The sequence below is a fragment of the Homo sapiens genome, chromosome 20 (assembly GCF_000001405.40).
Source record: "Homo sapiens chromosome 20, GRCh38.p14 Primary Assembly".
In the NCBI taxonomy this organism is placed as follows: domain Eukaryota; kingdom Metazoa; phylum Chordata; class Mammalia; order Primates; family Hominidae; genus Homo; species Homo sapiens.
The window spans coordinates 30,537,386-30,562,030 of NC_000020.11; the positions used below are offsets into that span (position 1 = coordinate 30,537,386).

The 24,645-nt window shown below is 40.0% G+C and overlaps 1 long non-coding RNA gene and 1 pseudogene across 2 annotated transcripts; both read left to right on the forward strand.

Annotated features, from left to right (window-relative positions):
- On the forward strand, positions 218-19,101 carry LOC121676924 (uncharacterized; annotated as a pseudogene).
- LOC102723636 (zinc finger protein 285-like) lies at positions 222-19,042 on the forward strand. Of its 2 annotated transcripts, NR_172079.1 has the most exons (6): positions 222-274; positions 861-1,364; positions 2,485-2,527; positions 4,609-4,666; positions 8,216-8,342; positions 15,566-19,042. It is a non-coding gene; the product is annotated as a zinc finger protein 285-like (long non-coding RNA). The 2 variants fall into 2 exon arrangements; NR_172078.1 differs by lacking the exons at positions 861-1,364; positions 2,485-2,527.

Here is a 24,645-nt window from a genome sequence, read left to right on the forward strand (position 1 = left end):
TAGTAAAATATTGAAACTTTTTCTTTTCATCGTTGATAGTGATTTAACATTTCATTACTTTATCGTTATTATGATTGTCATTATTTTAGACGAATGCATGGAAGTCAAAGGACTTCCAAATGCACTGACGTCAAAGGCTACCTTCACCCGGGTAGCCTTGCGAATGGCCACGGCTGCGCGTGGGGCTTTCTGGGGATTGTAGTCCATAGGCCTCCTTGCGCAAGCGCTGTGGTACCAGACGCAAGCTGCGGGCGACATTGTTTGGGATGCTGGGGTGAGGCCCGCCTGGACCGCGCCCCTCTCGGAAGTGTAGCCAGGAGTAGGGGTGTAGGATGTGCAGCTGTGACCCGTCCCTGTGGACTGAAGTAGGAGGAGTGGAGGAGGGGACTGGTGACCAATGATAAGGCCTAGTGGGTGGGGTAGGCTGGGGAAGTTCAGCGGCCCCTACCTACCCGGGATGGGATGGGAAGCGCTTGGGGTTTGGGGAGCGCTGGATGGTTTGGGGAGCAGCCCTGGGTTTGACAAAACGTTCATCTTCACGTTTCGTGACAGCGACTTGCGCTGTGCCACCTTGGGTCGAGGCTTAGGGTCAGTCTTGGAATGTGCATCTCTGGATGAGGGCAGAGGGGAGCTGGCTCAGGGTTTGGGAGTAATGGCTGGGGCTGTGCCTCCCTGAATGAGATGAGAGATTTGCTTAAGCAGCTTGTCTCTGGAGATAGAGGATGGCTTGGGCTATTCTCGCTCAGTTTGGTCGGGGCGATTCTGGCTCAGCACCCCTAGGTTCTTGGATGGGGAGTTGTCTTGGGTCTGAACTCTGGATTTTGGCAGCTCTGACTCCATTGGGGCATTTCTGACTTCAGGGCAGAGGTTCCGGCTTCTGGCAATAAAGAAACAACTCAGACTGTAAAAACTCTGGAGTTTAATGTCACCGAACACATTTTGAAAAGAACTGCCCCAGGCCTGGCGCAGTGTCTCACTCCTGTAATCCCAGCACTTTGGGTGGATCACGAGGTCAGGAGATCGAGACCATCCTGGCTAACACGGTGAAACCCCGTCTCTACTAAAAAAAAAAAAAAAAAAAGAAAGAAAAAAATTAGCCGGGCATGGTGGCAGGCACCTGTAGTCCCAGCTACTCGGGAGGCTGAGGCAGGAGAATGGTGTGAACCCGGGAGGCGGAGCTTGCAGTGAGCCGAGATCGCGCCACTGCACTCCAGCCTGGGCGACAGAGCGAGACTCCGTTTCAAAAGAAAAAAAAAAAAGAAAGAAAATAAAAGAACTGCTCCAAATTATTAACTCCATTCTCACCTCACATGCTGTGAGCCAGGGAGTACGGAATTTGAGTATTATAAAGCACGTGAGCAAATGTAAGTTGTTAAATTACACTCACCAAATTTGAAGTTTGAACGCTCTCTGTATATTTGATAAAGTTAGAGATTTAGTGTTAATTATTTTAGGTGTAATAGCAGCATTTATTACATTTCTGATCGTGTTTCTGGACAATTTCAGTTCCAGATTCAGCTGCACTTTTCCTCTAGGTCTTCATTCCCTGAAGAGGTTGATATGGGCATCTGGTCTCATTCCTGATGTATTCCTCAGATCAGAGTAGTTGTCAGGTTGAGGGATGAGAAAGGCATTTGTGTGAGAGAGCTGTGTGGACTTTGGCAGATAGGGAAAAAACAAGAGTCCTGAGGTGCCACGTGTCCCATGCCTTTGGCTCCCCACCTTTTCCACCCTGCTGTCTGCCCTGAAAGGCCACCATTGCCTTCTGGCCTTGCTTGTCTTTGGCCAGTGGGAAGTCTCAACAGGAAAGTTTGGAGAGAGAAAGAAGTGTGAGTTGGAGGATCTTGTCCCCCAGTTCTCTCTCTGCAGGATTGTCACAGATTAGCTGCCCTTCTAAACAACAGGTCATGGTTTGGGTGGCCCTGGCCACACAGTCCTCTCAGTTCCAGGCTCCAGGGACTGCTCCCTCCCCTTACCTCTTAAGGCCCAGGTATTATAATGGCACCTCCCTGTCACTTCCCAGGATAGAGCCTTATCCACTCTGATTTCCTTGCCCCCAGCCAACACCATCGTAAGCTGTCTGTTTATTAAACTCCCCTCAAATTTGAATGTGCCATCTGGTTCCTGCCATGGCCCATAGTTGATACAGGCAGGGAGTGTCTGAAGCCAGAAATTCAGGAAACCAAACCCTCAACCATATATGTGTGACTGCATGTGTGTAGATGTGTGCTTGAAAATAAATCTGTCCCATTATTGGCTCTTAAGTGAGAACGGGTACTGGAAGTAGAGGGTGAGTTTATGTCTTTGCACGTGCGTATAATGTATAATATCCAAGCCAATTCTGTTTGTGCATTTGTTAATATTAAGAAACATTGATTGAGTGCTTGTTAAATGATAAGATCCTTAGCAAGTACAGTGGATAAAAGACTACAGCTTGTTTTTTTGTTTGTTTGTTTTTGTTTTGTTTTGTTTTGTTTTTTTTAGGATTTGTAGTTTTTTGACAGGGGAAAGGAGGAGTGTTTCCTTGGTAGGTTTTAACTATTGTAAAATGATGTAATTCATGCTGTATTAATAAGTTGAACATTCCTTATTTTGGCCTTTATTGGAGCCCAAAATAAGAAGTGATTAATGATGTCTCTTAAAGGTATTAAAGGAGAGAAAAAGAGTCCAAGGATTTACCAAAAAGACATTTCATATTCTATTAACCTGATTCTATAACCCTGTGAGCTGCAATTCAAAGGGTAACCAACAGACCAGTGCCAATAAATGATATTGGTCTGTGACCAGATAATTTGAGAACTTGATTGTAGATGTTTAAAATTTTGTCTTATTGATTAATATAATAATAACAATTGGGCTTTAATTTGCATACCTTCTTAATTTCCTTTTTCCAGTAATTTCTTTTTACTGTATCTTACCAAAATATCAGTCTGTGACAGACTGAAAGTAACGGTAATAATAATATAAAAACTAGTCCTTTATCACAGATAGTGTGAGAAGCACTATCTGAGAAGGCAGAAACGTGGTTTTTGGCTTTTATTTTTTAATCTTTGGAGTTTACACAGTGCTTAAAGTGGCAATTTTATACAGTAAGTTTCCCCACAAAGGCGAGAGGCAATTGAGCTTACAGCTTTTACCAGATGGAATCCCAATAAAAAATAAACAGAACACTCAAATTGGGTAATTTGAGAAGAGCTTAATAAAGGGACAATCTATAAAGTTGTAGGCAGGCTGTGGTAATCAACAAAGGGTATTGCAATATTTCAGAGCTAGTGATAGCAGGGTAACTTACTGCCTTTAGGACTGAAGGGCTAAGGGAGGAGGCAGTCACTAAAATGTGAAGAAAGATTTATGGGATGACAGCTGCCTGATGGTGGCCATGACCTTTGGTCAATGGATATGGAGCATAGCCATTCCACAGCAACCTCTAGGGAAAAACCTGGGGGAATAAATATTCTGACTTCACTCTTGTCCCTTCCCTGGATCTCTTGCTGGCTTTCCCCATTGGCTGAACCCAACTGGAAGCTAATTGGCAAGGGAATCCACTGATATTAGCAGAACAGGAAGGGACTTTAGTGTATATGAAGTGGCAAGCTTAGAAGGTCTATCTATCTACTTTGGTCTACGTGCAGTCTGAGAACATGTACAGTTCAGTATACTGTGAGCATTTCCAGAGCAGAGGATGTGTCTTATATGTCATAAGTGTGTCATCAATATTTGCAAAAGCAAGGGATAGAATGGGTGCTGGAGAGACAGTTTAGGAAGCCAAGAATCAAGGTGTAGATGTTTAAAAATTTGTATTATTGATTAACGTGATAATAAAAATTGGGATTTAATTTGTATATCTTGGCTAATCGCAAGTTCTTTAGACCACAGGCCTGGCCATACAAGATCAAGTCTTTCATGTGAAAGTGGAAATAGCAGAAGGTCCCTGTCATCCTGAGATTGCTCTCTTTTTTTTTTCCTTTTTTTTTTTTTTTTTTGGAGACAAAGTCTGTCTCTGTTGCCCAGGCTGGAGTGCAGTGGTGCAAGCACAGCTCACTGCAGCCTCTGCCTCCCAGGTTCAAGTGATTGTCCTGCCTCAGCCTCCTGAGTAGCTGGGATTACAGGTGCCCACCACCAAGCCCAGCTAATTTTGTATTTTTAGTAGAGACAGGGTTTCACCATGTTGGCCAGGCTGGTCTCGAACTCCTGGCCTCAAGTGATCCACCCGTCTCGGGTTCCCAGAGTGCTGGGGATTACAGGCGTGAGCCACTGTGCCCAGCCCTGAGATTGCTCCCTTACTCAGCAATTCTGGAGCCTTTTTTCCAGCGTAATTCAGATGTAGATTATGTCAGTTCATTCACAAGTCTGAGAAAAGGAAAAAATGTGCAGGTTTTGACCCAAAAGCTTGAGGAGAGAGATAGGAGTTACACAGTGGTCTGAGATTGAGGGACTGGGGACAAATCTAGGGAAGTCTTGAGGAGGTGGGAGTTCAGTCTGTTCAGAATGAGAAGAGATATCTAGGGAGAGAAGAAATTGTGAGAAATTTGTACAGATAAGGAAGGAACCAATGTTCATTTATAACTTGTTGAATCCATGATCTCATGGATTCTTTCTTCTTTGCAGTTCTGCTTTTCCAGAATCCTGCCCTTTCCAAAAGGAAGACAGTATGATTAAGTTCCAGGTAAGTTAAGGGTTTCTTTCTCTTTAAATATACTGTTCATTCTGAGGAACCAGCACTTCTGTTTTCTGAAAGGTGGTCAGCATTTTTTGAGTGACTACTATGTATTAGGTACTTCATCTTGCTCATCATGAGTTTGTGAGGCAGGTGGTTTGACTCCCTTTATAGAAGTGAAGAAACAAACTCACAGATTTCAAGATGTCTACTTTGGTGCTACTCTAAGTGTGGTTCGTGTACCAGTACCAGTCCATGAACTGCTTATCACTGCCCCATGAGGGAAAAAGAATCAAGACTAAGTTCAGAAGCTTTTATAGCAATTTGGTGTTGCCGCAGCATCTGAGTGCATGGGCAGCATATACATGACCATACTCTAAATGTCACTGGTCTCGTTCGATAAGTAACAAGATTTGAATGGGTATGTATTGGTCAGAATTCAACCAGCAAGGCAGAACCAGTAAGAGATATATATTAAGAGATTTATCATAAGGAATTGATTTATATGATTATGGGGGCTAACTAGGCAAGTCCAAAATCCACAGGGCAGTCCTCAGGAAGGGTGGGCCAGAACTCTTAGACACAGACTGAAGCCCCTGTCTATGGGTGGAATTTCTCCCCCTCCCAGGGAAGCCTCAGCTCTGCTCATAAGACCCTTCAGTTTTTTGAGTCAGACATACTCAGATTAGTTAGAATAATCTCCCTTAAAGTCAACTGATTATGGACTTTAATCACATCTACAAATTATCTTCATAGCAATACCTAGATTAGTGTTTTATTCAATAACTGAGGACCGTAGCTTAGCCAAGTTGCCACATTAAAAAGACCATCACAGTGTGGAGGAAGGATTTTCTTTTAATCATGAAAAAAATTAATTATGAAAATACACAAAAAGAACAAATGGTATTATGAGGCTCCATTTGCAGTACCCATCATGAAGTTTCAACGATTAACTTATTGCCAAAGGGATTTGCTTAATCTCTTTTTCAGTTTTTTCTTTCCCAGAGTATTTGAAAGAGGCATGGTATTTACACTGTATTGGTTTTTCTCTGAGCACATCGCTTTTGTATAGTACCTTATTATATATGCAGCTAAAATGAAAGAGCTCACACTTTATCCTTCTGCCTGGAAACCATCTTGCCCAAGTCCAAGATTCATTAGGTACATTTTCTATCTTCTAAATTACAGCAACAGTTTACCAAGTGTTCACCACTACATCACCCAGGTCACCATTTTTCCAGCCTCCTATAACAGTGTCCTCAATGGTTATGGCCTGGACCTAAAGCCAATGCCATGAGTATTTGGTAGCACTCTGCTGGTTTTGGTTAGCTTGGGTGTGTCCTCATAGTGAAGACAGAGTTACAAGAGAGCAAGTGAACGCGTGAGATCTGTCAAGGCCCAGGTTAGAAATGGCACATTCTCACTTCTGCTTCATTTTGGTAGCCAGAGCAAGTTACATTGCCAAGTCAAAACTAAAGGGGTAAGAAAACACACTCTGGTCCTTTAGTGGGATTGGTGAGCATGGAAGAGGATATTTCTAAACAGCAATCTAATTTACCACATTCTCTATGTATTTCAGTATATATTTCCTTAAAAACTGACTAATGAGATAATCAATAATTATTTGGTATTATCTAATACCCAGACAATAACCAAATTTCCCTGATTATCTCAAAAAATTTTTAACAGTTGGTTTGTTCAAATGGGATCTTACCAAAAGTCTATACTATCATATAGTTGGCTGTTGTGTCTCATAATCTCTTTTAATCTAGAGAAATCTGCCCCTCTACTTTATTCTCTCCTGCTATTGACTTGTTGTAGAAACCAAGTTTGGTATCCTGTGTTCTTTCCTACATTTGGAATGCATTTGCTTGCTTCCTTTTGGTGTCTTTCAATGTGTTACTCTATCCACAGTATTTCTTGTAAGTGGAAGCACCAGATGCTTGAATAGATTCAGGTTCAAGGTTTTACAAGAATACTTCATAGATGGTTATACAAGAATACTTCAGAAAGGAAAATATTTATAGATTTTTGCAAGTGTTTATTCGTTGAAAAATTTGGTTTCTTAATATTTTGGGGCTGTCCTTGTATCTGCATCCTATGACAATCGCTGCCTAGGATTCCTACAAGGCATCCATCCAGCTACAAGGGTGGTGGAGAAATGAGTGTTTTGTTTTCCCAGGCTCTATAGTTGAGGCAGAGAAGGGAGAATGGGGTGTAGGCTGGGTGAACCTCTATTCCTAACCCCTTCTTCCTACGTTGGAACACCCCAAGCAGACTTCAGGGTATCTGTATTTCCTGAATGATTAACTCCAATTCAATTTTGTTGCCTCCCACAGAAGAAGGCATACAGTAGTGTTACAGAGAGAGTGATGCTATTAGGACAACCGTGCTGACTCCCCTAGATTTTGTTTTTAATCATTGTCAGATTTTGGTAATTGGACAATTGTTAGGAACATATTCTTTGTGAAGTTGTTTGTAACTGCTTACAACTTTCATTTGAAAGTTCTGCATTATTTAGAGATGCAGAGTCTATTGAGAGAACATATCTGTAAATACTTAACTCTGAGCAGTGTGATATATGCAGCAATAGAAATATTTTACATAAAAATTGTTTTCTTGATTAGGAGATGGTTATTAATATCAGATTATTCCCCACATCCTTTTATTTTGAGAAATTTCAATTTATCAGGAAAATGAAAGAATAGCATAATGTGTAATCTTCACCTAGATTCACCAATTGTTAACAATCACCCATAAACATATGCATAATATACATATATACACACACATATCTATATTTTATTTTGATGACCCAGTTGGGGATAAATTGCAGGCATGATTATAATTCATTCCTAAATATTTCAGCTTGTATCTCCTAAGAGTAAGAGCATTTTCCTACATTTCCACATTACTGCTAACATACTCGAGAAATTTCACATTGATACCACTATTTTTTAATACCTAGTTGATATCCAAGTGTTCTTAATTATGCTAATAATCTCCCTTTTCTCTATTGTGTTTTTTGAATCTAGGAGCCAGGCTTTTAGTTACCCTGTCTTCTTAGTTCCTTTTAACATGATAAAAATAGATTAATCTGCCATGAAAAAGTGAAAATACCAAATCTTGGTGTGTGATGAGAAATGAACTCATGGAACAGTACTAGACTTGTGTATCAGCACAACACCTTAGTATAGATTTATCTGTGCCTATTTCCTGGGCCATATTTTATAATTTGATTCATATTGTCCTTTGGGAATCCCTGATCCAATAGGATTAATGTCCTTATGAGACAGCCTCAACAGAGCTTGCTCTCATTCTCCCTCTGCCATGTAAGGACACAGTGAGAGGACAGCTGTCTGCAAGCCAAGAGAAGAAACCTGAATGAAACCTATCTTGGTGGTACTTGATCTTAGACTTTCCAACCTCCAGAACAGTAAGAAGTTAGTTTATTTTGTTTAACCTAATCAGACTGTGGTATTTTATTAAGGCAGCCCAAACAGACTAAGACCAGTCATTTGTGTGGATGATTGACGTGGCATGTGGTTGATGTTTTAGGAAAGGGCGACATTCAAGGACATAGCTGTTATCTTCACCAAGGAAGAGCTGGCAGTATTGGATAAATCCCAGATAAACCTGTACCAAGATGTGATGCTGGAAAACTTCAGGAACCTCATCTCAGTGGGTGAGTAACTGAGCATCAGACCACTGGACCTGTGTCCTGAAATCATCATTTCAAACCACATAGAAAACTCCAGTTAGATCACAAAGAGAAACTTTGACCACTGGAAAGAAAACACCTAAGAGATGCATGTGCAGGTTAGAACCCTGCAGTTAATGAGCTTTTACAGATCAATGTGAGGATCTGGCCCCTTGTGATGGGTTTGTGAGGGAGCTCTCCCCAAATCTCATACCCCTGGCCTGTGGGCATTCAATGCAGGTAGTAATCCCTCCCTCCCCTAATCACACATTTAGGCTCTCATTCTTTCCTCATATTTCTCAGAATGAGACATAAAATTCACACATCACCAAGAGCCTTGATCTATTGGATGCTTCTGGAGAAAAATCAATGTTTATCCAATGTTTTGGATAAACCAGTGTTAAAGGAACAAAGGGAGAACTTTGATTTGGTTGGCAGTTACAATAGCCAACACTTACTGGTATGTAGTAAGTGTAATCTAAGTGTTGGCTTATTTGATTACTTTTTGATAAATATCTAACCTCATTTTCATTTCTCAGAGGTTCATATACAGTTATGTGCTACCTAAGTTTAGTTTATGAGATAGAGATATGGTTTGGCTATATCCCTACCCAAGTCTCATCTTGAATTGTAGCTCCCATAATTCCCATATGTTGTAGGTGGGGCCTGGTAGGAGGTAACTGAATCATGGGGCAGGGGTCTTTCTCATGCTGTTCTTATGAGAGTGACAAGTCTCATGAGATTTGATGGTTTTATAAATTGGTGTTCTCCTGCACAGGCTTTCTCTTTGCCTGCCACCATGTAGGATGTACCTTTGTTCTTCCTTCACCTTCTGCCATGATTTTGAGGCCTCCACAGCCATATGGAAATATGAGTCAATTAAACCTCTTTCCTTTATAAATTACCCAGTCTTGGGTATGTCTTTATTAGAAACATGAGAATGGACTAATACAGATAGTTACTGTTATTATCCCCCTTTTATGGACATATTACTCTGTTTTCACACTGCTGATAAAGACATACCTGAGACTGGGCAATTTACAAAAGATAGAGATGTATTGGACTTACAGTTCCACATTCCTGGGGAGGCCTCACAGTCATGGTGGAAAGTGAAAGGCACGTCTTACATGGTGGCAGACAAGAGAAGAGAGCTTATGCAGGAAACCACCCCCCCTTTTTTTTTTTAAGAGTCTGGCTCTGTAGCCAGGCTAAAGTACAGTGGTGCTATCTTGGCTCACTGCAACCTCCAACTACCAAGTTCAGGCAATTCTCCTGCCTTAGCCAACCCAGTATCTGGGACTACAGGCATGCACCACCATGCCCAGCTAATTTTTGTATTTTTTAGTAGAGACGGGGTTTCACTATGTTGGCCAGGATTGTCTCAATCTCTTGACCTCATGATCAACCCACTTTGGCCTCCCAAAGTGCTGGGATTACAGGTGTGAGCCACTGCGCCCATTCAGGATCTCCCTTTTAAAAACCATCAGATCTCATGAGACTCATTCACTATCATGAGAACAACACAGGAAAGACCCGCCCCCATAATTCAATCGCCTCCTACCAGGTTCCTCCCATGACACATGGGAATTGTGGGAGTTACAATTCAAGATGAGATTTGGGTGGGTACACAGCCAAACCATATTATCCCACCCCGGCCCCTCCCAAATCTTATGTCCTTACGTTTCAAAACCAATCATGCCTCCCAACAGTCCCACAAAGTCTTAACTCATTTCAGCATTAACTCAAAAGTCCACAGTCCAGTGTCTCATCTGAGACAAGCCAAGTCTCTTCCATCTATGAGCCTGTAAAATAAAAAAAAACAATTTATTTACTTCCTAGATACAGGGCAGGTACAGGCATTGTGTAAATGCTGCTGTTCCAAATGGGAGAAATTGGCCAAAACAAAGGGGCTACAGGCCCCATGCAAGTCTGAAATCCAACGGGACAGTCAAATCTTAAAGCTCGAAAGTGATCTCCTTTGACTCCATGTCTTGCATCCTGGTCACGCTGATGTAAGAGATGGGTTTCCATGGTCTTGGGCAGCTCCACCCCTGTGGCTCTGCAGAGTATAGTCTCCCTTCTGGCTGCTTTTGTGAGCTGGTGTCGAGTGTTTGTGGCTTTTCCAGGCACACGGTGCAAGCTGTCGGATCTAGCATTCTGCTGTCTGAAGGACAGTGGCCCTCTTCTCACAGCTCCACTAGGTAGTGCCCTGCTAGGGACTCTGTGTGGGGGCTGTGACATGTGGGAATTATGGGACATGACACTTGGGAATTATGGGAGTTACAATTCAAGAAGAGATTTGGGTGAGGACACAGCCAAACCATACCAATGGATGAAACAACTGAGTCACAGAATTAATAACTTGCCCATGATCACACAGCTTATAAGAAGAACTAGGATTTGAGCCCTCCTAATCTGGCCCTAGGTCCTGTGTTTTTAATAAATAACCTGGTGAAACCAACGTGTAATCTGTAGACACAGGACCTTCTACATAAATCTGCATATCCCTGCAGTTGTTTCTCAAACTGCAGGATAAAACCCTCTTGATGAGTCCTGAAATCAAATTACTGTGTCATAACTAGCAATTTTTAAAAAGCAAAATAGATTAATAGAGCAGAAAACAGAAGAATTTATCAAAATGCATTGCACATCATATGTAAGTATCAGCTGATAAAACTTCTGTTTTAGTGAGCAGTCGGTGTTGATGTCTGTGCCTATTCCTACTGAGTCACAATGCTGATTTTATTGTGGGTTACAATCAAAACAATTGGGAAACCACTGCTTAGAACCCATTTGGGGCAGCTCATGGTCTCCCTTTCCCTGATACTATCTTATAAACTAAAGTCACTTTCAATAAAACAACCCAGAAAGGACCTTGAACCAGAAGCGGTATCCAGTGGGACTTGACCATGATATTCATGCCATTTTGAAACCCATCTTAGGGTCCCAAAAATATGATCATCCTCTTCTGCCTCAGCCCCCTGTTTGTTATATACCACAGTCTTGCTTCCCTGGGTGCCAGGCCATTGACAGTGCCACAGTATCTGTTCCCCATTCTCAAAGTCATGGCTCTTTGAGATTCTGCAATAACTTAAAAGGTCAGAACTTAAAGAAATGGATTATAGTATCTGAGTGGTCTCTATCTTTTCATGAAGATAAAGAACCTCGGGGAAAATAAAAAGGATGTCTCTTAAAGCTTGTCTCAGAGGTTTACATATGCATCCCCGCACAACGCCAGGACCACATTTCACAATGTTTATCCCTATTTCAATCCCCATTGCCGTTTTATCCCCATCCCCTTAAGGCTCACCATGTACAGTTGTGCAGGTTGTACACAAACATACATGATAGTCCTCCATATGACAGTGATGTGAAGGAAGGGAAGCCATCAGGAGATAGGACTTACTTGTTTCTGAAACCTCTTGTGACCCTTTGTGTCCCTTACTCTGCCCAACATATAAAAAACACTCCATCAATATGTATTATTTCTATACACACATATACTACATAAAATGGGAGCCTTTCCCATACCTTTTGTAGCAAGATTATTAAAGTCTTTTTATTGACCACTCTTATAGTGGGGAGGTGAATTTCTTCCTTCATAAATTTTTCCTAAGATTTCCTTTTATTCTTTTTTGCTGTGTGGGGGTGGAAATGTCTTGCTCTGTCACCCAGGCTGGAATGCAGTGGCACAATCTTGGATCACTGCAGCCTCTGCATCCCAGGATTAAGCAATCTTCCAACTTCAGATTTCCAAGTAGCTGAAATCATAGGCAAAACAGAACCAATTTTCAATTTTTTTGTAGAGATGCGATCTCACCATACTGCCCAGCCTGGTCTTGATCTCCTGAGCTTGAGTGATCCTCCCACCTCAGCCTCTGAAAGTGTTGCTATGACAGCCATAAGCCACTGCACCTGGCCAAGATTTCTCTTAATTTCCCTACAATACTTGATTTCTAATTGGCAGCTCACAGGTTAGAATTACTGTGGCTCTGTTTCCCATGCCAATAGAAGCCAGGGACAACTTCCCACCCCATCATATTTCATTTTCTCAAAACCTCTGGACAGGTGATTCACAAATTCTCTTTCTTCTCATGGGAGACGGGATTAAAAACAACATTTTGAATCTTCAGGGAACGGGGTTAAGTTACCTTTCTCAAGAAGTGCTTCATTGCTGGCAGATTTGGAAACAAAGGATCCGGGATTTAAGTGTGAGTCAGGATTATATCATGAACCTTCAAGAACAGTGTTCCCCACATTTAGAAGATGTTTCCCTCTGTGAAGAGTGGGCAGGCGTGTCTCTTCAGATTTCTGAAAATGAAAACTATGTAGTAAATGCCATTATCAAAAATCAAGATATCACAGCATGGCAAAGCCTGACACAGGTTCTTACTCCAGAATCTTGGAGGAAAGCCAACATAATGACCGAGCCCCAGAAATCTCAGGAAAGATATAAGGGAATTTACGTGGAAGAGAAATTGTACAGACGTGCTCGGCATGATGAGAGCCTCAATTGGACCTCATGTGATCATCATGAGTCCCAAGAATGTAAAGGAGAGGACCCTGGTAGACACCCCAACTGTGGGAAAAACTTGGGTATGAAATCAACAGTTGAACAACATCATGTGGTCCATGTTTTACCACAGCCTTTCACATGTAATAACTGTGGGGTGGCCTTTGCAGATGATACAGATCCTCGTGCCCATCACAGCACTCACCTAGGAGAAAAATCTTATAAATGTGACCAGTATGGAAAGAACTTAAGTCAGAGCCAATATCTTATCATTCATTGTAAAACCCACTCAAGAGAGACTCCCTATGAATTCCACGAATGGCCTACAGGCTGCAAACAGAGCTCAGACCTTCCCAGATGTCAGAAAGTCCCCTCAGGAGACAATCCTACAAATGTAAAGAATGTGGCAAGGGCTTCAGGTGCAACTCCTCCCTTCACAACCATCATCGAGTCCACACAGGGGAGATGCCCTACAAATGCCACGTATGTGGGAAAGCGTTTGGATTTCGGTCACTTCTTTCTATTCATCAGGGAGTACACACAGTGAAAAAGCCCTACAAATGTGAAGAGTGTGGGAAGCGCTTTGAACAGAGCTCCAACCTTCTTATCCATCAGAGAGTCCACACTGGAGGGAAGCCCTACAAATCCAGTGAGTGTGGCAAGTGCTTTAGTTCAAGCTCCGTTCTTCAAGTCCACTGGAGGTTTCACACAGGGGAGAAACCTTATAGGTGTGGTGAGTGTGGAAAGGGCTTCAGCCAAAGTACACACCTTCACATTCACCAGAGAGTCCACACAGGGGAGAAACAATACAAATGCAATGTGTGTGGAAAGGATTTTGGGTATAGTTCTGTTCTTCACACTCATCAGAGAGTTCACACTGCAGAAAAACCATATAAATGCGAAGTGTGTGGAAAGTGCTTTAGTTACAGTTCATATTTGCACTTCCATCAAAGCGATCACACAAGAGAGAAACCATATAAATGTGATGAGTGTGGTAAAGGCTTCAGTTGGAATTCAGATCTTCATGTTCATCTCAGAGTCCACAGAGGACAGAGGCCCTATAAGTGTAAGGCATGTGGTAAGGGCTTCAGTCGTAATTCGCACCTCCTTGTCCAACAGAGAGTGCGTATAGATGAGACACAGTACACACATTGTGAGCATGGCAAAGACCTTCTGACTCATCAAAGACTACATGAGCAGAGAGAAACATTATAAACGTAGTAAGTCAGGGTTAAATTAGGAAAACAAGCCACACTGTATTCCAGATAACAGAGGCTTACTCAGCCTGTGGGAGGGCTGGGGGAGCAAAAGACAGGGACACTGCCATCAATAATGTCAGCCTGCAGCACTGGAGTGTGCCAGGCAAGGGTTGTGGATTTCAAGAACTTCTGTGAAGCTCCCATCAACTGCTGTATGCTACAATGGCAAAGTAGGTTACTCTTGACAAATGGGTGGTTTGTGGTAGTGTTTGTAGTTAGAGGTCAAATTTCCATTAAAGGGTGTGTCCAGGAAGGAAATTCTAATTGGGATGATTATGGTAAGGTCTTCAGTTTAGCCAAAGTCCTGAGATTTTTTTTAGTCCCCAACAGAAAAATACTCTCTGTATGAAGAACATTCAAAATTGTGCTCAGAAATGAAACTGATGCTCTTACCATGAAAGAACATTAGTACTCAGGTTTTCCATGAGATTCTCTGCACAGGCGAGAAGCTCTACAGAAGTGGCATTTGAAGAGTGTGGTAGAGGCAGTGCTGTGTTTATCACACTGGTTCCATTTCCTTGCAAATAGGAAGACTCTATTTCCCAGTAACACTTGCAGTTAAGAGTGTGCCCATGTTTGAGCTCTAGCCAATGGCGTGTGAGCAAAAGTGATATAAGCCACTTTCAGGTCTAGCCTTTATAAACATCTTCAGGCTTCTCTATTCCTGCCAAGGTGACCTTTGAGGCTGCTTATTCCAGACTGCATTGATAGAAGGTCGCTATCTGATCTGTTTTGGATTTCTTTTTAGAGTAAGAAATAAAAATTCACTGTGTCTCACCACTGAGATTTTTGGTGGTTTATTTGTTACTGCAGCATTGCCTAGGCCATCCTGACTAGCATGGAGGGATTTTATAGCAATATGTTTCATTGTCAGTGGAGTCCACATACAGAAGAAACATTGTAATTCAGAGTTCAAAGCTTTTAAGTCTTTAAGGCTAGATGTGGCAGTGCAACCATCTAAAATGGTATGGATGGGACTTCTCCAGTGATAACCTTCATTCATTGGTGTGTACACCAAAGAGAAATGTTCAAGATGATATAGCTGTGGTAAAACTTTACTGAAAAGTACAACCCACAGACGTAAGAAATCTCATACAATAGAGAAACTCTGTAGTGTGGGAGCTGAATAAGTTTGATAGCTCACACCTTAAATGTGATTAAAAATTGACTAGAATAGGTGTTCTGTGGTTAGTCTTAATAAAATTAATTGAATAAAACTAACATTTACTAAAGTGAGCAACAACATGTAAAAAACCAACAGTGTTCATTGCAGACTGATGCAGTCTTCTTCTCAGCAGACTTGTATAATAATGGGTTTTTAAAGGGTGCTCTTTCTGTCAGCTTCCTACCAAAATTGTCATTTAATTGGGGATAATAGATGAATTCGAGAGGAGATCTCATTGCTTTTTTTTTTTTTTTTTTTTTTTTGGAAACAGGGTCTTGCTCTGTCATCCAGGTGGCTGGAGTGCAGTGGCCTGATCATGGCTTGCTGCTGAAGCCTTGAACTGCTGGGCTCAAGTGATCCTCCTGCCTCAGCCTCCTGAGTAGCTGGGACTACAGGCATATACCACCATGTTCAGCTAATGTTTTCTTTTAAAAATTTACTTGTAGAGATGGGGTCTTGCTTTGTTGCCCAGGTTAGTCTCATTCTGGTTTCAAGCGATCCTCCTACCTCAGCTTCCCAAAGTGCAGGGATTACAAGTGTGGGCCACTGCACTCAGCCCACAATGTCTTTTATTTTTTCTTCAAAAACAATGTCCTTTTCTGTTTTAATTGACTTATAAGTTTCTTCATTTGGATCATGGTTTATTCCTAGTTTTTCTTGCATTATATTTTCCTGCCAGTTATAGTTTGTAAACAGAACAGCCATTCAAGTGCAAATAAAACCATCCCTGAAGTGTCATTTTCTTACTGAGCAGGTGGATAAGAGTGAAATATTTTAAAAATTCTGTGTCAGTAGAAATGAGGAAATGAGTGTTCTTACATAAGTTGGTGGGGGAAAAAAACAGGTACCAAGTTGCTGGAGAGGATCTTGTCTATATGTATCAGATGTACAATGTGCATTGTCTTTGAGCCAATGATCCTGCTTCTCAGAATGTATTTTTAGGATGTAATTACATGAGTGGAAAAAGATGGTTTCAGAAAGAAATATGTTCTAAGAATTTTGCAATAAGAAGACCATAAATGACCTGAAGCTTCATGTATAAGAGATTAAGTAAATTAGGGCATCCCATATAATGGAATAACATGGCTCCATCAACAATGATCTAGACCTATAAAAATGTCCACATATTATTGTCCATGTCCACCACATACTCCAGTCCTCCTACTTGCAAACAGTAGGTTAGAGAAAAGATCTGGGATACACATTATCCCAGGAAGCTTTTGGGGTTTAGAATGGGTGCAACATTCCCTCATGACAGAATTGGCCCTCAGCCTTGGTCGAGGTGTCCCAGGCAATCCTCCAGTTTGGCCAGGAGCAGCACTTGCATATCACATTAAGCTTTTTAAATATATGATGCTAACAGGATTGTCTCCCTACTTCATAAAATTGTTTGCTTTTCCTCTTGTAACAAAGTAGCATGGAAAAAGCAGAAATTAGTCTAGCTCCCAATCAGTGGGAGCCAACTCATTTACAAATATAGATGCAGAGATCCTAAATAAATATGAGCATGTCAAATCCAATGATTTGATAAAAGCATAACAGACTCTGCTCATGTATAATTTATCCTAAATATGCTTATCAGCTTCTGCCTCATAACACACACAAGAACTGAGTAGCTCTACATACAAATTTATTTAGCTCATGATGTGTGAGCTGGCAAGTTCAGTTCGGCTTAGCTGGGCAGTTCTGGTGTGGGACATGCTAGATTATCTTAACTGGGCTTTGTACATGCATCTGCATTCAGCTGATGGCTCATCTGGGCCTGGCTATTTTATGATGGTCATAGATGAGACAACGAAGTTCTCTCTGTCATCATGGTCTCTCATCATCCAGAAGACCAATCTAGGGTTGGTCCCATAGTGCCAGGGTTTCAAGAGCAAAAGCTGTGATCTCTTAAGGCCTCATCAGAGAACAGGCTCAATGATACTTCCACCACATTCTAATGATTAAAGCAAGTCACAACACTGGCCCAGATTCTTGCGGTGGGATTAAGACAAGATAAAAAATGTTGAGACGTAATCATTGGAAGGAAAAAGAAGGTACTATTTTTATGTTAGAGAATAATGTTATTTACTTATAAAATTCAAATCTGCCTGTAAAATTTGACCAATTGAAGTATGTTTTAAAATTATCAGTTCAAAAAATTGGTTTCATACAAAATTGGCACATGAAAATTCATAGCATTACTATTTAAGAGTCTTTTATAAAATGTAGCCAAAATGTTTCATTCACAATAACAATTGTGTGCAAAGACCAGAATTCTCCAAAGGTAATTCTGGGAGTTCCCTTTGGGATGCCTAGGTGAGTAGCTATCTGGAGCCTCAGACTCCCACATTCTTCAGTGGGAAAAGCTTTACATGAGCTCAACTTCCTAGCGGCTTTCTCTTTCTGATGGGAGGTGTTAGAACCTGGCTTTCTCATGCAACTTCTGTGAAGCTCTGACAACTAAAGCCAGATTGTCTGCTTTAGTCAATCTGTTAGATCAATTAGTCATTTGATCTGACAACTAAAGCCAGATTGTCTGCTTTAGTTAAGTAGTCCAGATTACCTGCATAGTCAATTTGTTCCCTCACCAACATGGATGCCTTCACAATTGCTCTTTAAGAAGGATAAAAAGATAGGGGTGAGGTGTGGTCTATCTCCTGCTTCACTCAGGCCCTGGTGCTTCCTCAAGTGGTGTGAGAAACTGTGGTCCTGTGCGTTCTCTTCCAGACCCTTAGCTTATATATTTTCCCTATAAAACTTAGTCCTAATCCCAGCATTTTGGGAGGCCGAGGAGGGTAAATCATGAGATCAGGAGTTTGAGACCAGCCTGGCCAACATAGTGAAACTCCGTCTCTAAAAAATTAGCTGGGCATAGTGGCAGGCACCTGTAATCCCAGCTACTCAGGAGGCTGAGGCTTGAGCCCAGGAGGTGGAGGTTGCAATGAGCCGAGATCACACCACAGCACTCCAGCCCAGGCGGCAGTGAGAGACTGTCTCAAAAAAAAAAAAAAAAAAAAAAAAAAAAGAAGTCCCTTATGTGTGATGATAAAATTTGATGAAGAGCAACATTGGTGGACTTACACTACCAGAGATCAACATTTATTATAAATGTTCTATAATTAATACAGTGTAGTATTAGCTCAGGAGAGAAAAAATAGATCAATGGAAAAGAATAGGGAGTCTAAAAACAGATCCACATGTATACAGTGAGTCAGTTTATCAGCCTTGAAATACGTTGGAGAAATAATAGTCATTTAATAACTGATGCTGGGTTCACTGGCTACTTAACACTAGTTCTTCATACAATTGCAGGCAATAAATACAAATAGCATGCAGCTGGCAGACTGGGATCAGTGGCTATGCCTCCACTAGACTGCCCATAGAAGCACATAGTAACAGCTACCAAAGGTGTCTGATCTGTCTTGTCTTTTTTTAAACTCATTTTGTTCAGGTATAATTTACATAAAATGCAGACTTTAACTACATTTGTTTTAACAAATGTACATATCCTTGTAAATAATGCCCATTCAACATGTTAAACATTTTATTTACCCCAAAAATTTCCCTTGTGCCCCTTTCCCTTCATTTCTTTCCAAAAAAGGATATAATCACTGTTTTGTTTCTATCACCATATGTTGGTTTGCCTATTCTTGAACTTTATATAAATGAAATCATACTGTAAGATACTCTTGTATTTGGCTTTTTTTCATTCAACATGGTTTTCTAAATTAGTAATTTATAATAAAGAGTACTGCATATTTTATTATTGTTTATAAATTGTGTTCTAAAAACATTCTATGTTAGTAAAATTTATAGTAAACTTCTATAATGTACATACTTTTCTTTCTGGAGAGCCATTTATTAAACATTTATTAGCATACCACTCACAGAGGAGATGTAAGCCCAGAATTGGCCTTTTTCTTCTGAAGTCAACTAGCTTTGAATTAGAATGTAACATTAGTTATTATTCCTCATTCCCCACTCATTCTCTGTATCTACTTCCCTTATTTTTTTCTTTTATTTTTCTGCAGACACTATGGTTACTTAAGTGTCTACTTCTCTTTTTCTGCATGTCTTTGAGTGGAGACACTGGTCACCTTTGTTTCCCACTGTCTTTTCAAAGGTGTATGTTAGGGAACAAAAATATAGTGTCTCCCTCTGGAGCAGTAGATTTGTTTATGGCCCACTCTAGTGAAGACAGTGTCTCCCTCTAGGGTGAAGGGCAGTGGTTTTATTCCCACAGGCTATCATAAAAGATTCAGGTTTCCTAAGCTTAGGGTTCTATCCCTACAACACAGCCCGCTAGGCCTGTGGCACCTGGCCTTCCATGTCACTCTGTGGGATTAGAATGCCAAAAACCATTGCAAAGAATGACACTCTGGCTACTGCTGTGGTTGTGGCTAATAAAGTCCTTTGTCTCAGAGCCAGGAGTCTTTTGTCTTGTGCCAGCATCTGTGAGACTGTCAGGCTAACTTGTGAGCTCATAAATTGGTTACTTTCAGATCCTTGGTTTTTGATGGAAATAAATGTCTCTTAATCTTAGAGGCAAACTAGAGCTACCTGGAATGCTTTCAGCTTTTTACAATTTTTTACTGGTGAAATATACATAACATGAAATTTACCATCTCAACCATTTTTAAGTGTATAGCTTAGTAGTGTTAAGTACATTTACATTGTTGTAAAACCAGTCTCCAAAACTCATTTTATCTTGCAAAACTAAAACTCTATCCCATTCAACAGCAACCCTCAATTTTCCCCTGCTCCCAGCCACTGGCAACCACTATACTTTGTGTCTCTATGCATTTGACTTCCCTGGGTCACATAAATGGAATCATACAGTATTTGACTTTTTTTTTTTTTTTTTTTTTTGAGACGGAGTCTCCCTCTGTTGCCCAGGCTGGAGTGCAGTGGTTCCATTTTGGCTCACTGCAAGTTCCGCCTCCAGGGTTCACGCACGCCATCTTCCTGCCTCAGCCTCCTGAGTATCTGGGACTACAGGCACATTCCGCCATGCCCGGCTAATTTTTTCCATTTTTCGTAGAGACGGGGTTTCCCCATGTTAGCCAGGATGGTCTCGATCTCCTGACCTTGTGATCCGCCCACCTCGGCCCCCTAAAGTGCTGGGATTACAGGCATGAGCCACCATGCCCGGTCCAGTATTTGCCTTTTTGTGACTGGCTTATTTAACTTAACATAATGTCCTTAAAGCTTATTTGTGTTGTAGAATGTGTCAGAATTTTCTTCCTTTGTACACTTGGGTTTCTTCCACTTTTCGGCTACTGTGAATAATGCTGTTATGAACATAGGAGTACAAATATCTCTTCAAGACCTTGCTTTCAATTCTTTTGGACACATACCCAGAAGTGGAATTGCTGGATCATATGATAATTGTATTTTCAATTTTTTCAGGATCTGCCATTCTGTTTTCTATAGAAGCTGCCACCATTTAACATAATGTTTTTAAGTTCATTTATATTATTATGCTTGTCAGTCTTCTTTTTGTGTTCAGAGTAATCAGGAAATTACCATAGTTTGCCCATTCTCACGTTGGTGAACATTTGTTTCCAGGTTTTGGAAATTTTGAATAAAGCTACTAAGAATATTCTTGTATTAGCGTTTTTGCAGACATATGCTTTGATTTCTCTTGGGTAAATACGTAGGAGTTGAATTGCTGTCATAAGCTAAGTGTATGTTATCTTTATGAAGAATTGGCTGTCCTTGTCTATTAACATAAAGAATGAGGTACTTTATTGTTCACTTAAAATCTTTATGTGGTTGGGCTGTGTGGGGTGGCACATACCAGTAACATACCTGTAGTCTCTGCTACTGGGGAGGCAGAAGGATCACTTGAGGGCAGGAGTTTGAGGCTATTGGGTGCTACAATCGTGCCTGTGAATAGCCACTGCACTCTAGCCTGGGCAACTTAGCTAAAAAAATTTATGTGGTTAAAATTTCAATGTGTTTATGAAATTTTTGTATAATGATTTTTTAAAAGAAAACTTTCCCATACTCCCAGGCACTAATTATTTTCAAAACATGAAGAATATGTTTTAAGTGGTGTCAGGCACAAATCTAATTTTAATTTTTTCTAATTGGATAGTCAAGGCTTTCAACATTTATTGATGAGTCCCTTTTTTATTTACTGATCTTAAAGGTCACATTTATACTACACTAGGTATATCCATTCCTGGAGTCTCCTATCTTTTATGTTTATCACTGAAATCTCTGACCTTTTTTTTTTTTTTGAGATAGAGTCTTGCTCTGTCACCAGGCTGGAATGCAGTGGCACGATCTTGGTTCATTGCAACTTCTGCTTCCTGGGTTCAAGTGATTCTCCTGCCTCAGCCTCCTGAGTAGCTGGCATTACAGGAGCCCGCCACCATGCCCAGCTAATTTTTGTATTTTTAGTAGAGAGGAGGTTTCAGCATGTTGGTCAAGATGGTCTCCTGATCTCATGATCCACCCACCTCAGCCTCCCAAAGTGTTGGGATTACAGGTATGAGCCACCATACCCAGCCCATTTTTGTTTATTCTCAAACCACTATCTCACATCTTTAAGAATGATACTTTTGGTAGAAGGCAAGTAACAGTGAATATGCTAAGTGTATGTTTAACTTTACCATTTCTAAAAATGACTATACCACTTTATACTTCCATTAGCAGTCAATGCAAGATCACTTGTTCTACATGCTAACCAACACTTGGGATTTTTAGTCATTGGGATTATTTGTAGTGTTATCTCACTGTGGTTTAATTAGCATTTCCCTGATAAGTAATGATGTGGTTATCAGTCATTTTATCATGTGCTGATTGGTCATTTTATATCTTCTTTGGAAAAGAACTTTTGAAAGTTTTGCTTGTTTTTTGTTGGTTTGTTTCCTTACTGTTGAGTTGTAAGATTTCTTAATATAGCCTAGATACGAATCCTTTCTCAGATAAATACATTATGAATATTTTTTCCTAGTCTTGGCTTGCCTCTTCATTTTGTTAATGTTTTTAAGAGAGTAAGTTAATTTGATGAAGTTCTGGTTTATCTTTTTAAATTAGATTTTGTGCTCTTTTTTGCCTACCTATGAAATCTTTTTTTGCCTATCCCAAGGTTTTGAAAATGTTCTCCTATATTTTCTTGTATAACATTTGTAGTTTTAGCTTTTCATTTAGGTCTGTTACCTATTTTGAGTTCTTTTTGTGTATGATGTGAGGTAAGTGTTGAGGTTCATAATTTTCGAATAGGTGTCCAGTTGTTCTAGTGCTATTTTTTGAAACAACTTTCCCCCATTGAATTACCTTTGTGGCTGCACTGAAAATAAACTGATCATATATACTTGGCTGTATTTTCTGGAATCACTTCTGTTCCACTGATTTATATAGATATTGTTAAGCTTTTGCTATGTCTTGACTACAGGAGCTTTAGAACAAGTTTTGAAATCTGATACTGTTATTCCTCTAATGATGTTCTTCCTTTTCAAAACAATCTTGACTATTCTAGTTTTTTTAGTTGGCTGTTTTTTGCATTTCAATGTAAATCTAAATATTAGTTTCTGCAAAAAGCCTGCTCTAAATTTGATTGATACTGTGTTGACTTTATAGATCAATTTGGAATTCTGGTTCTGGGTAAGATGGAGTAAGCCAGTGGCTGGGAAATTCTGGCCTAATGGTTAAATATGGTGTATTGACTGTTTTTGTATGCCCCCATGAAGTAATAATGGCTTTTACATTTTTTATTGAGACAGGGTCTCACTCCATCACCCAGGCTGGCTCACTGAAGCATCAACCTCCTGGGATCAAAAAATCCTCTTACCTTAACTTCCTGAGTAGTTGGGACTATAAGCATGCACCGCCATGTCCAGCTAATTTTTTGCATTTTTGTAGAGATGGGGTTTTACCATGTTGCTCAGGCTGGTCTCAAACTCCTGAGCTCAAGCATTCTGCCCTCGGCCTGCCAAAGTGCTGGGATTACAGGTGTGAGCTACCATACCCAGCCTACATTTTTAAATAGTCAAAAAAATCAAAAGAAGAATATTTTATGACATATGATAAGTATGTAAAATTCAAATTTCAGCATTCATAAATTTTGGTTGAAACACAGTCATGCTTATTTGTTTACATATTGTCTATGGCTGTTTTCCTGTTATATTGGTACAGTTGTGTACTTATGATAGAGACCATATACAATGCTCTCATCACTTCATACTGCTACTCAGTGTATCATAAATCACAGTAACACAGTTATTACAAGTTAACAGATTTTTGAGTGCCATATGTATCACTCTCTATGATATTTTATTTATTTTGCATATTCGTCATGTCAAAACAAGAAGAGAAAATCAAATTTTGAATGTCGTGCTTTTAAGGTATAGTAAAGTGTGGATTATTTTGTTAGAGAATCTGACGGCTGACTATTGTGTTTGTTATGCAGTGACAGCTGTACAAGAAGAAAAATTATAACATTAATACTGCCAGATTAAAAACTTATCCCAATATTTCCAAATCACAGATAATTATTGCCAAAAATAAAAAAATTAAAATGGAATATTTTATCAAAGCAGAATTACTTTTATGAAATAACAAATGAAAATGAGGCTATAACCAAAGTAAGTTTTAGAGTGGCTAATCTGTTAGTCAAGCAAGAAAAGTTATTTACTGATGATGAGTTGGTCGAATCGTATTTTGCAGCAGCTGAAGAAATGTATCATATAAATTTGTCTAAGACTATAAGCCTTTTGACAAGGACAGTTTCTTAAAAAGTTGAGAACATTGGGAGCAGCACTGATAGTCACTTTAAAAACAAGATCATAAAAAATTCCCAATTATTGTTGCCAGTGATAGTGAAAATTTATCAGCCATAAGTGAACACAAAACAAAACAAAACTGAAAGACAAAATTATAAGAAAACTAAAATGAGAAAAACAGAGGATCAACAAATTTCTATTGCTACTTTGTATTTACCTCTGGGAGCCAAGAAACAATGCAACTGGGCTTAAGACCATCACTGAGGTGTACTTTTCTGGTGACAGATATTACCTGGATTTGTTACATGAATCTATTTGGCATCTCTGTGGGACCCCCAAAACTGTTAAAAAAGTAATTTTCAAAAAATAAAATCATAACTCTTACACAGGTATGAAAAGACCAGCTAGGGAATGATAAACTATTTGCAAATCATGTATGTGTAAAAGTCTTGTATAGAGAACATATAAAAACTCTCAAAACTCAATAGGAAAACAATCCAATTTTTTAAGCTAAAAGATTTAAACAAGCACTTCACTGAAAAAGATATACGTATGACAAAGGGGCACATGCAAAGATAATCAACATCATTAGTCATTAGGGAAATATAAATCAAGACCACAATGAAATATCACT